This window comes from Homo sapiens, chromosome 15 (genome assembly GCF_000001405.40).
Source record: "Homo sapiens chromosome 15, GRCh38.p14 Primary Assembly".
Taxonomy (NCBI): Eukaryota; Metazoa; Chordata; class Mammalia; order Primates; family Hominidae; genus Homo; species Homo sapiens.
The window spans coordinates 85,508,196-85,520,575 of NC_000015.10; the positions used below are offsets into that span (position 1 = coordinate 85,508,196).

General features: G+C 38.7%; 1 protein-coding gene across 2 annotated transcripts in view; it reads left to right on the top strand.

Annotated features, from left to right (window-relative positions):
- Positions 1-12,380, top strand: part of AKAP13 (A-kinase anchoring protein 13) — a 368,756-nt gene that overhangs the window by 127,593 nt on the left and 228,783 nt on the right. The window lies entirely within an intron of this gene.

Genomic DNA, 12,380 nt, shown 5'->3' on the forward strand with positions numbered 1-12,380 from the left:
AGCAGTGGCACAGTCTTGGCTCATTGCAGCCTCGACTTCCTGGGCTCCAGCAGTCCTTCTACCTCAGCCTCCTGAGTAGCTGGGATACAGGCATGCACTACCGTGTCTGGCTAATTTTTGTATTTTTTGTAGAGATGGGGTTTTGCTGTGTTGCCCAGGCTGGTCTTGAACTCCTGGGTTCAAGCAATCCACCTGCCTCGGCCTCCCAAAGTGCTGGGATTACAGACGTGCGCTATCGTGCCTGGCCTTGTGTAGATTTTTTTAAAGGTAAGGGGTTGAAGTGGGGAATTCCAGCCCTCTGACGGGGGTGGTGGTACTGCTGGCTCTTTAGCTGAGTCCTCTATCGTGTTTCATCTGGACCACTCTTGATAGCTTCCTAAGTGGTCTTTCTGTAGTTTCCTTGCTCTGTCCTGTTCTCCGCAGAGGAACCACAGTAATCCTTTGAAACATGAATCATGTCACTCTTCTTTTCAAAACCCTCCAATGGTTTAGCATCACACTAAAAAAGAAAAAGAAAAAGAAAAAAAAATCCATATTCCAACCTCGCCTTCCATCCAGTGTTCATTCATTTGCTCCTCCAGACTGACCTTTGCTATTTTTTGAACACGCTGAGTTTGTACTTCCCTTGCACTCGATATATTCCCTTTGCCTTGACTGCTTTCTTTATCTTCCCTTAACTTGCTTCATTCAGGTTTCAGCTCAAATTTGCCTTCCTTGGAGGAGCTTTTCCAGACCACCCTGTCAGGAAAAGTATCCTCTCATCCCTATTTCAGACAAACTTTAACCCCTTTATGCTGTCTTACTCTTTCTAATAGAACTTTCCCTCTAATGTTACTTTCTATAATTTGTCTTACCTGCTAAAATATAAGCTCCATGAGGGCAAAGGGCCTTGTCTTTCATGTTTGAGGCCTAGTTCTTAACAGTGTCTGACACATATTACAGTAAGTTTTGTAATGAATGAATTCATTTTGCTGACAAAATGAGTTTCAAGTGGTTCTTATCAGGGGTCTGTAGCTATTAAGTGACTGATTCTGATTCTGTTTCCCAGCCTCCATTTTTATATTTCACTACCATGTGTGGCGGCTGATACCTTGTTACCGAGTAGCATGTTGCATTTAAGAAATAGTGAGTGCTAAATAATATTAAAGATTTTTGTGCATATGCTTGCTTTGTAATGGTATTGATTTCCCAGAGAAACGAAGCTACTCAGAGCCATTCATGCTACTTTGAGGTAATACTAAAGGACCAACAGAACAGGATAGCTCTGTTCAGTGATTTAGGATTTTAGATTTTTTTCTTCTGGTAGGATTTCTGTTTTCTAGCTTGATGGCAATAACATCATATATTTACGTTCTCATCCTAAGGAGCCTTGGGGTACTGCTTTGCTGTGACCGTGCCTTATGAATTTGTCTTTCATTTTCTAGAGCACTCCACTAAATTAGGCAGCACAAATGTAACTCATTTATCCTATAATTAAATTTTGTGATATTCTCCTTTTGAATGAATTCCGATGTAAGGAAGGCCAAGGGATAGCACTTCAGGGTATTCACAAAGTTAGAAATACAAGGTTTGTGTTTCTTTGGGGTTTGCTAGTGTTACATGACATTTTATAAGCGTCATTATATCCAGTGTTTAGAAACTCTCAGGTCTGAGAGCTGAATGGTTTTGGATTTAGTTTGTAGCCTCTGTCACCTCCTCCGACATGTCACCCCTGTCCACTGGTTGCAAATATCATTTCTTTCAAACATAATTTGAAATCAGGTGAGAGAGAATCGGTATTCCTCAGGCTCCTTCCAGGTGACCTGTGTTTGAGAAGACTGTGGGAGGCCTCCCTGCCCTGCGTTTTGCTCAGGCAGTCAAGGGCCTCCTCTAATCCCTGCAGTCCCTGGTCCTTGCTTCTCTTACTATGCTTTTGATACAGCTGCAATTGTTACCTTATGTGTCTTTTTCCCTGAAGAGGCTGTGTACAAAGATGAATGAGATGCAGTCTCTGGCCCAGCTTCACTGTAATGGCATAAGCTTTCAGAGAGTATGCGCCTGCTCGAGGTGATCTGTCTTGAGCTTTGAGCAGCACTGGGCTTAGACATTTCTCCACAGAAGTCTTTTTGGTCATATTCTTCAAGGTAGAGTTTGGGCATTCATCTCCCTGTACCTAGAGAAGTCAGTATATGTATTAATATAGCATTTGTTATATTACTAATAAATGTATAATTATATTAGTAATACATTTTATTGCTAGTATACAATTATTGAAGTAATAATAAAAGGAAATGTTTAAAGTAACAAAATATTTTCAGATATTTTAAGACTCATTTACCTGTCAACATGATTTCATATAATGTTTGTATTTTAAAAAATGATCCCAGTAATGGATGGCAGTTCTATATGTATATTTGCTAGCAGTAAGTCATTTGAAAATCCTTTAATTAATGCAGGCTAGGTTTCCACCTGATTATCACAGATGAACAATTATATCTTGTCAAGATTGTATCATCCTGAAAGGCTTTCATAGTTACCAAGGGTGTTATTAACAATAGGTGGTTAAAATAAAGAGAACTCTGAAATATTTTAAATGGTGTGGAATTGAGTGTATCATGAATCTGGGAAGGGATCATTATTTTGGTTTAGCAAATGAGCTTTCTGAAACATTTGAAATGGGAAACAAGTATTTTAAGTTTTGGCTGCAGAGTGCTCACTTGTGACTGCCATTAATAGAGAGAGATATGGCAAATCCCATGTTTTTAGGTGGCGCTTGAGTTTGGGTTCCTCTTGGGTCCATAGGGCCATTTCTGGGTTCAAGGCACAGGAATAGATAGATGAAAGATATGTTATGAAAAAACCCATTTAAGGCTAGAGAAAAAAAAAATTTCTGAGTTTGTTGCTTTTCTTCAGACGTCTCTCTTCCATTGTTTGTTCTGAGGATTTCTTTTTAAAAAGTCATTCCTTTTAATGCTGCAAGACTTTTATATCCTTGCCTCTTTTGGCTTTGCTGATCCTCTCTTCTCTGATTTCTCCTCTTCTCGGACTGGCCCTTCCTTGTTTGGCCTGTTTCTCTGGATCCATTTCTTCTTACTGCCTTCCCTTGCTGGAACACCAGCGTCTAGTCATTGGCTCTCTATTACCACAAACTCATCTACAGTCAAGGTTTTAGTTCTTAACTTAGTGCAGGTTGACTTTCAGATCTGACTGGCCAGGCTAGCCCTTTTTTGACAGCTTGCCCTGTTACCTACCTGTTGGATATAGAATAAGTACAAATATCTATCCTGTCTACCCTGCTGATACATGAAACTTAAGATTCAAAGCCCCATCATCTTATCACAAATTATTCCCACAAGCCACTAGTTTTCCTTAGAGATACCCCTTTTTCTCTTAATTCTGCTTGAGGCTTACTATCTTCCAGTCCCATCCAGTCACTTGTCATATTTCATCAAATTATTATTATTGTTAATTTGAGAGACAAGGTCTTGCCCTGTCCCAGGCTGGAGTGCAGTGGTGTGATCATAGCTCACTTAGTCTGCATCTCCTGGCTCAAGAGATCCTCCCACCTTGGCCTCCCCAGGGGCTGGGAGTACAGGCATGAGCCACTGCGCCTGGCCCAAATTATTTTTAACAGAATTTTTTTCTCACATTTATTATTTTTTTAGATTGGTAGATCTTGCTACCATGGCAGTTAAGCACTTTTAACTTTCTCACATTGTGTTTTTGTATTATTTTCTCCAAATGGTTTCTTTGTCTCTATTCTTTTTCCTTCTTAGGACGTGACTGTGAGAGAAATCTTTCTGGAATATTTGCTGCCTTTAACACCCCCTCACCCCCCATTTTTCTTTCAGTATATACCACATAAGACTGTCTTTTTTTTTTTCTTCGTCGCCTACACAGGTTCAAGTATGAATCTTTTGGCTTGCCATTAATATTCGGCATAAGCTCATCTCTGCCATCTTTATTTACTCAGTTATGGAACAACTTCCTAATGCTAGATGGGCCTTGTGTGAAGTTTCAAAAAGACAGTTTTTGCTTTCCATAAGCCTCAGGTGGTGAAGAGAAACATGTACAGCGCAGTGCACATAATTGCACATCTCTCTGACTTTGTCACACGTTTGGACCCAAGCAACACGTTTGGGTTTGGGTTTACCGTGAGTGTAAGCAGACCTCTTGCTTCTCCTCCCTTCTCCACCTCCAGACTCTTCCATCTTTCTTGTTCTTAGCACCCTCTTTCTCCTATACCCTGTAGTCCTTCGATGCCTGCGACTTGCTTGCTATGTAACATGTTCCTTCTATCAACAATGATCTCTTTACACGTATCTCTTTTTTCCCCACACCTAACTGTGTCTCCTCTTAACTTCAAGGTCAGGATATAGAGGAAAGAATACAGACTTAGGAATCCTACTTGGATTTGAATTCCCGCTTGACCCCTTCTAGCTTTTTAAAGGCAAGATTTAAAAAATACTCTCGGCTACAGCTTTCTCATCTCTAAAATGGAGATAAAGATACCTTGCAGTATTTGCAAAGCACCTCAGTCAGCCCCTCACCTGCAGTAGGCATTCAGAAAATGCAGTAGTATGTGCTGACTCATCTTCCTTTCTCACCTTTACCATGCTCCTACAGTGTTGACTATTTTTATGTATGTATGTATGTATGTATGTATGTATGTATGTATGTATGTATGTATGTATGTTTTTGAGGTGGAGTCTCGCTCTGTAGCCCAGGCTGGAGTGCAGTGGTGTGATCTCGGCTCACTGCAAGCTCTGCCTCCTGGGTTCACGCCATTCTCCTGCCTCAGCCTCCCGAGTAGCTGGGACTACAGGCACCCACCACCATGCCCGGCTAATTTTTTTGTATTTTTAGTAGATGCTCCTGCCTCAGCCTCCCAAAGTGCTGGGATTACAGGCGTGAGCCACCGTTCCCGGCCCAGTGTTGACTATTTTTGTAATTTTAGTTTAGTGATAAAAACGTCTGTGGTGTTGTATTATTTATTTTTCCTAGGTCCTCGGGTAAAAGGCGCTTGTGTGAGCATGGACAGGCTCCATGCTCTCAGAGTGAGGCTGAAGGAACTTCTACATTTGCTGTTAATGATAGAGCTTTCTTCACATCTGTATTGATAGGGCTTCCCACAACCCCAGCCCTTAATTTATTTTAAAGCCTTTTTACAGTTTTTTGTGGGAAGCCTTGGAGGTTTTACAATTTTTTATTTTTATGTTTTTAAAACTTTTAATGTGGACATAATTCCAAAATATTAAAAATATTAAAAAATAATTTTATAAAGAGTTTTCCAAAAGTAGTACAAAGAATACTCATATATTCTTTACTCAGGGCAACACCTGTTGTTAACATCTTACGCCATTTGCTGTATCATTTTCACTCTAGCGATTTACCTGTAGGCCGACAATTTTTTTCCTTAATTATCTGTCAGTAAGTTACATGTATCCTGGCTGTTTATTTCAAAAATGCTTCAGTATGTATTTCCTAAAATAGGGATATTCTCCTTTGTAATCACAGCAGGGTAGATACTGCTCTTTAGTTGTCATGTCTCTTAGCCTTCTTTAATGTGGAACACGTCCACACCCTTTCTTTATCTTCTGTCTTTTCCGATTTTGAAGAATACAGTGCCCTCTCCTCTTGCTTAATAGACTGTTTCTCATTGTCCGACGTTTCCTTGTGATTAGGTTGAGGGCTTGCATGCTTGGTCAGAGCACTGCATAGGTAACCTTGTGTCTTTCTCAGTGTGTGACTCTGGAGACACATCTGTCATCTGTCTTTATTGAGATCTTTATTTTGATTAACCTGTTCAGTGTATTGGCAGATTTCGCTGAATGAATTCTCCTTTTTTTTTCTTTCTTATAACTAATAAGCAGTCTTTGGGGAGACACTTAAAGACTGTGTAATATGTATGCTGTTCCTCATCAGAATCTCCCTCTGGATTGAGCATTCATTGATAACTTTTTGCCAGAGTGAATCTTTACCATATGTTTGCGCAGTGATAATTTTACTATTCCAGCAATCTCCCCTCTTTAAGCAGTCAGCCCGTCATTCTGTGATACTCATAGGAACTCCCTTCTCTGCTGTATAATTTATCTACTGTTATTAATATGGACTCATGACTTCCTATTTGTTAAAAAAATTGTTTATAATTTATTGCTGTTCTTGATTGTGTAGTCTTTAAATTGTCCCAGGTTTGTACAGAGGAAGCCACTTGAGTCTGGCTTCTGTGTCCTTAAGACATGGCCCCATCGTTTTTTTGAGCACTTCATTGTTTTCTGTCAAAACAAGATATTACAGTCTCATCTTATAGATACTCTGACCCAGGCCTGGAATCAGCCAAGTCTCTGAAGGGACTCGGTTCTTTTTATTGGAGAATGGTATTAGTGACCAATGCCTGTACACTAGATAATATTCATTGCTACTGAGTGTTCCTCTGTTGTGTAAGCCTTTAATGAAATTGAACACTGGCTGCCATGAGTTGCCAAGTTAAAATGCCATGACTTTGCCTTTTAGCCTATGGAAAAGTTGTAGCTACCTGTCAGTGTTTGGTTGTTTTAGCAGAGTAACTGGGCAAAGTGTTATCAATTGCCTATCAATTGTATGTTTAAAGGAGAGAACGAAGATAGTTATGTGAATACAAGCAGTGTTGGTTAATGAGATTTTGAGGGGTTTTTTTTTTTTGGTACTGTAATAATTGCCACCTCATGGAAAGGTAATACCCTGTAATAACACTCAGTTTTTATTTAGTTTACTTAACTCTCTTGTTTCACTTTTCCCAAATTTGCAGTGGGTATAAATCCTGTCATTTTGTCAGACTGGGAAATAAATTTGGGAAGGCCTGTGAAACTTTTAAGATTCTGGATTGAAAGGTAGTTTTTGTTATAATTTCACAATTCTTGGAGCCTACAAGAATGTCTTTACATAAAATATGTGACTGCAAGATATAAAAAATAAACTCAGGAATCTAAATTTTATACCTTTTAACTTCAAATATTTGATTATAAATTATTTGAGCAGATATTTCTTGGAAACTATTCTGAAATAATTTCAAGTTTATAGAAAAGCTGTAAGGATAGAACAGATATTACATCTTATAAACTTTATGCCCCTATTTTCCAACTGTTGACATTTTGCCATATTTGCTTAATCATTCTGTCTCTTATCATTTCTTTCCTGAACCATTGGAGAGTAAATTGTAGGTCTCACGTCCCTTTACTCCAAACGCTTTGTTGTGTGGTTTCTGAGAACAAAGGTGTTCTTTCATAACCACGGCACAATACCAAAACCAGGAATTTTAACATTGGTTCCATGTTAATCTGTAAACCTCATTCAGATTTTGCAAGTTGTCCCGATAATATCCTTAATAGCAGCTTGTTTTTATTAAGTATTCACTCCAAAATCATGTGTTGTGTTTAGTTGGCAAATCTTTTTAGTCTTCTTTACTCTGGAACAGGACCTCAATCTTTGTCTTTTGTTAATGACATTTTCTGAAGAGTTACAGACCATTTTTTTACATAGATGCCCCTTCAATTCAAGTTTGTCTGATGTTTTCTCATGACTAGATTGAAGTTATGCATTTTTGTTAGGAACACTGTAAGTGATGCTGTGTCCTTAGTGCATGCTATGTGAAATGTGATGTTAGCTTATTTCTCTATGGTTATTTTTCCTTTTTTTTTTAAATCATTTGATTCAGGTGTTATCTGCCAAAGTTCTGCTTTCCCCTTTGTTATTTATAAGCCTTAAGTGAGCATTTCTCCAACATCTTTGTTGTGTTTTTAACAACTTCTTTAACATTTTAAACATCTTTTCTGTTGTCCAATTTTTAACAACAAAGATGTTAAAAATCAGAAAACTCAGAAAAGCACATGGTGTATTAAAATTCCACCTAGGAATAACTGCCATTAAAGTTTTGGTGTCTCCCTTTCTGTCTCTTCAGATGCAACTTACTAGTCTAGACAAAGCAGGTTTCTCAGTGAATAAAACATGCTCTAATGGGGTGTACATCCTGGCACATTATAATAGTAGTCATTTATTGAATATTATGTGCCAGGCACTTGATATAGGTGCTTTCCTTTTATCAATCACTTAATTCTTCAAAACGACCTTATGAGATAAGGTTGATGATTCTTGTCCTCCATTATGGCATAAGGAAGTTAAACAACATACCCCAAGTTAAACAGATGTAAAGTGATATACCATACTGTGATAAAGACACAGGCAGGTTGGTGTCAGAGATCATCTTCTTAATCACGGTGATACACTAACAAGTTATAAACTAACAAGTTAACTTAAAGTGGTGATAATACTGAACTGCTGTGAGGAGAACTATGATGACACTGTTACCTATAACCTGTGATGGTTTGTACTTGACTAGGGTTTTGTCTTATAGCAAGACCTCCATTCTTTCCGTAAGTGGTGATGTCTCTTAAATGGGCCTGCCACGGCCTTCCTTGGTCCTCCCTGTGGAAATTCTCCCCTTTTCCCCTCTCCTTCCCTTCTGCTGACCTGTTCTCAGTGGTGTGCTGGTTAAAAAGAAAAAAAGAAAGCCCTCATTTATATCATTTGCCAATTTCAGTGGTGTAAATACTCCCATAATGGTTGATTTCAGGTATCCACACCACATTACGAATACAGATTTGACAAGAGATGTGAGTTGTGAAGACACGCAGCAGGACACCATTATGTGGAATTTCTGCTGTCTGGATACAATAGATACAAACTTTCAGGGCATGGAGAATAGTATGTTGTGGTAAATAATTAGAAAGTGATAAGTTTTGAGTATTTATGACATTTGTTTTTAATGCAGTTTACTTAGTTATAAGCCTATATCATGTAATTTTTAATAATGGCTGAGTTTAACAGCTGTCTTGCAGAATTCCTGAAAATTTAACAATGAGCACTCATGAGCCTACACAAGCCAGCTCCAGTATACCACTGTGATTTCTTTGCTGCTGACTGGGCCCACCTTTGAAAATCTATGGCTGACACTTCCTTACTATCTAAGATGACATCAGTGCCATCCTGTCTTTCACTCTTCCTCCTACAGGGCTTTCTATCTCATTCTCCTAATCCATATCTACTACCTTCCCTGTTCAAAGCCCATTTCTTTCCATTCATCCCTGCACTGTAATTTGACTCTTCCCATCCCCCAAATACGTTTCCCTTTCCCATCACACTTTTTTTTTTCCCCCCATCAAGTTACTTTTCCCAGTTAAAGGAAAGCCTCAGACCACTAGTATCTTGGGACATGGAGAGTCTCCCAGCAAGATGTTGGGTCTTATGAAGTGAGGAAATCTTTGGTCTAGAAAAGGAAAATACGTTCTTAGAATTCCAGGGTTGAAATCTAGGTGAAAAGATTTTTTTAAACTTAATATATAAAGGAAGTTACAGTGCCATTATTATAGTATGTAGCTACTCTAAGAATTACTTCAGGATGGGGAAAAGTGAGACCATGGCTACCATTTAAAACCCCATTTTAAAGTAACTGTTTTATAAAAACCTGTTTTTATTTGCAAATAAGTGATTTGATAGGTGATATTTTAGAACACAGTTTATTTATATGGGGGTGGGGGGAGCTAACCTATATTTACAGAATAAGGCCTAGTATAGAGGTCTTTTCCATTAGTTTTTGTGTCATCTGTCAGCAAAACTAATTAGGACCCTGAAAAAATTGTCAGTTGCAGGGATACATTTCTCACTAATGAAGAAACATGGAAAATATCTGTGTAAGGGGATCACGCTGTTTCTTAAGTTCAGATTATTGGAAGAGGGTGGTGATGTAGGTGTGTACTCTTCCTGAGGTTGGGTCAAACTAAAATGATAATTGAGAATGTCTTGAATATTGCCCTTGTTAATAAGTTGATCTATTTTATTTTATTTAGAAACATGGCAGACTTGTTCACTGTGTAGCCAGACTGATGTGTCTATTTATTCTTGTAGGCTGGTCTTTCCCAGGCACAGCAGAATAATTTATTAATACCAGGGTATTCTTTAAGGATGGTAGGATTAAAGCATCATGACAAAAATTGTTACCTAGATCTGTTTTTCCTTGTTATTTTTTCATCACCATTCTACTCATTTAATCTTTAAAAGCCATCTCAAGTAATAGTAGGTACCTGGTTCTACTGGAGTAAAATGGGAGTTAGTGGCTGAAATGCAGTTTGTTATTTGCTGTCAGTGACTTTATCAGTGTGCAGAGAATACTCCTTCAAGGAAAACAGGTAATTTTAATTCCAGGTGCCTTCGGAATCTAAATTTCAAGAGGCTTTGAAATGAATGGAGCTTCTGTGTTCTCTTCTCTTGAATATTTTGGGCATAAGGTAGTGTGACTTAATATTAAAAACAAACAAACAAACAAAACAACAAAAAAACTACAGACCAGGTGCAGTGGCTCATGCCTGTAATCTCAACATTTTTGGCAGGCCAAGGCTGGAGGATTGCTTGAGTTCAGGAGTTTGAGACCATCCTGGGCAACATAGGGATACCTGATCTCTACAAAAATTTAAAAAGCCAGAAGTGGTGGCGCATGCCTGTTGTCCCAGCTACTTGGGAGGCAGCAGGGGGAGGATCACTTGAGTCCTGGAACTGCAGGCTGTGGTGAGCCCTGATTGTGCCACTGCACTCCAGCCTGGGAAACTAAGTGAGAACCTGTCTCAAACAACAACAAAAACCCAATTAAAGGTATGAAAGCAATTTAAAACTTACTTGTAAAAAGAGGTTCATATTGAAAGCATTGCTAAAAGGATTTCATCTGCCTATAATTAGCCACCTCCTCTGTCCCCAAAGGAAGGCCCAGACTTCACTAGTATCTTGGGGCACAGAGAGTCTCCCAGCAAGATGTTGGGTCTCATATGAGGACAAAATTCTTGATCTGGAAAAGGAAGATATATTCTTAGAATACCAGGTTAGAAATCAAAGTGAATTTTTTTTTTTTCCTGTAAAAGTCCAGATAGTAAATAATTTAGGCTGTGGGCTAAGTTCTCACGTAATCATTACCTTTTATGGCCCATTGTAGTGCAAAACTAGCCATGGATGATGGGTAAATGAATGGGTTGGGTTCAATTAAACCTTTATTTATTGACAGTGAAATTTGAATTTCATGTAATTTTCACATTAAAAGGATTAAAAGGCCTTCTTTCTTCCCTAACCCTAACCCCCACACCCGCCCCCACAAAATGTAAAACAGGGGATGGTGGGAGGCTGGAATTGACTTGTGGGTCATAGTTTGTCAACCTAGTCATAGTTTGTCAACCTGTGCTGCAAAGGATGGAACTTTTTATTTGTACTTTTTTCAGGCTGTGAGGATATTTCAGTACCTTGAGAAATGGACTCTTCTCATACACGCTGCAAAAACATCTTTTTAACTGGTTGCATCATGCCAAAGAAGATTACACATTTTACCAGGCTAAGCTTTTCAAAAATGTTTCCAAGAGAGAGTCTTATAAACAAGACAGAAGTCTAATTCTGAGTAGTAACTGAAGTCAGTGATAATTCTGTTTTACCAGCCGTGATATTCCTTGGATTAGGATACTGTTGAATGCTCCACTGTGGTAGTCGTAGTAGTCATGGACCCACTGGAGCATTGTTTGTTAATAGACCTGGTTCCTAGGTTTGACTTGATGATTTTTGCTTTTTAGTGTTTAGTAAAAAACTACCTTCTGCTCAGTTATGCTGCTGGGCTTAGTAAATTGTGACCACAGGGTGGTATGTTTCTCTTGTTGGCTTTAATTGTTGCTAAAATCGAAAGGAAAAATATTCTGTACATAATGAGAATTTACTCCCCTAATTATGATGCTAAAATGGCCCAGCCTTCTCTAGATTGATTTTTCTATAGTGCATTATTAAGATTTATATAGTATTAAATCTCAGTGCTTTAAACCTTGATGCTTTGTAATCTTTTGTTATGGTTACAACAGGAATTATATAGTTCGTAATTGGGAGAATGCTAATAATTAGGACTGTATTTCATAGAATATATTTAGCCACTGGCCTTGATTTAAAAAAAAAATCAATATATAAAAACTACTAAAGAGTATTTGCGGCTGGGTACGGTGGCTTACTCCTGTAATCCTAGCACTTTGGGAGGCTGAGACGGGTGGATCATCTGAGGTCAGGATTCGAGACCAACCTGGCCAACACGGCGAAACCTTGTCTCTACTAAAAATACAAAAAAATTTAGCTGGGCGTGGTGGTGGGTGCCTGTAATCCCAGCTACTCAGGAGGCTGAGACATGAGGATCGCTTGAACCTAGGAGTTGGAGGTTGCAGTGAGCTGAGATCACGCCACTGCACTCCAGCCTGGGCAACAAGAGGGAAACTCCGTCTCAAAAAAAAAAAAAAAAAAAAAAAAGCAACTGAAAGACAAAGATGTCTTACCTTCTAGTAGTTGCAAAGTCATAGACA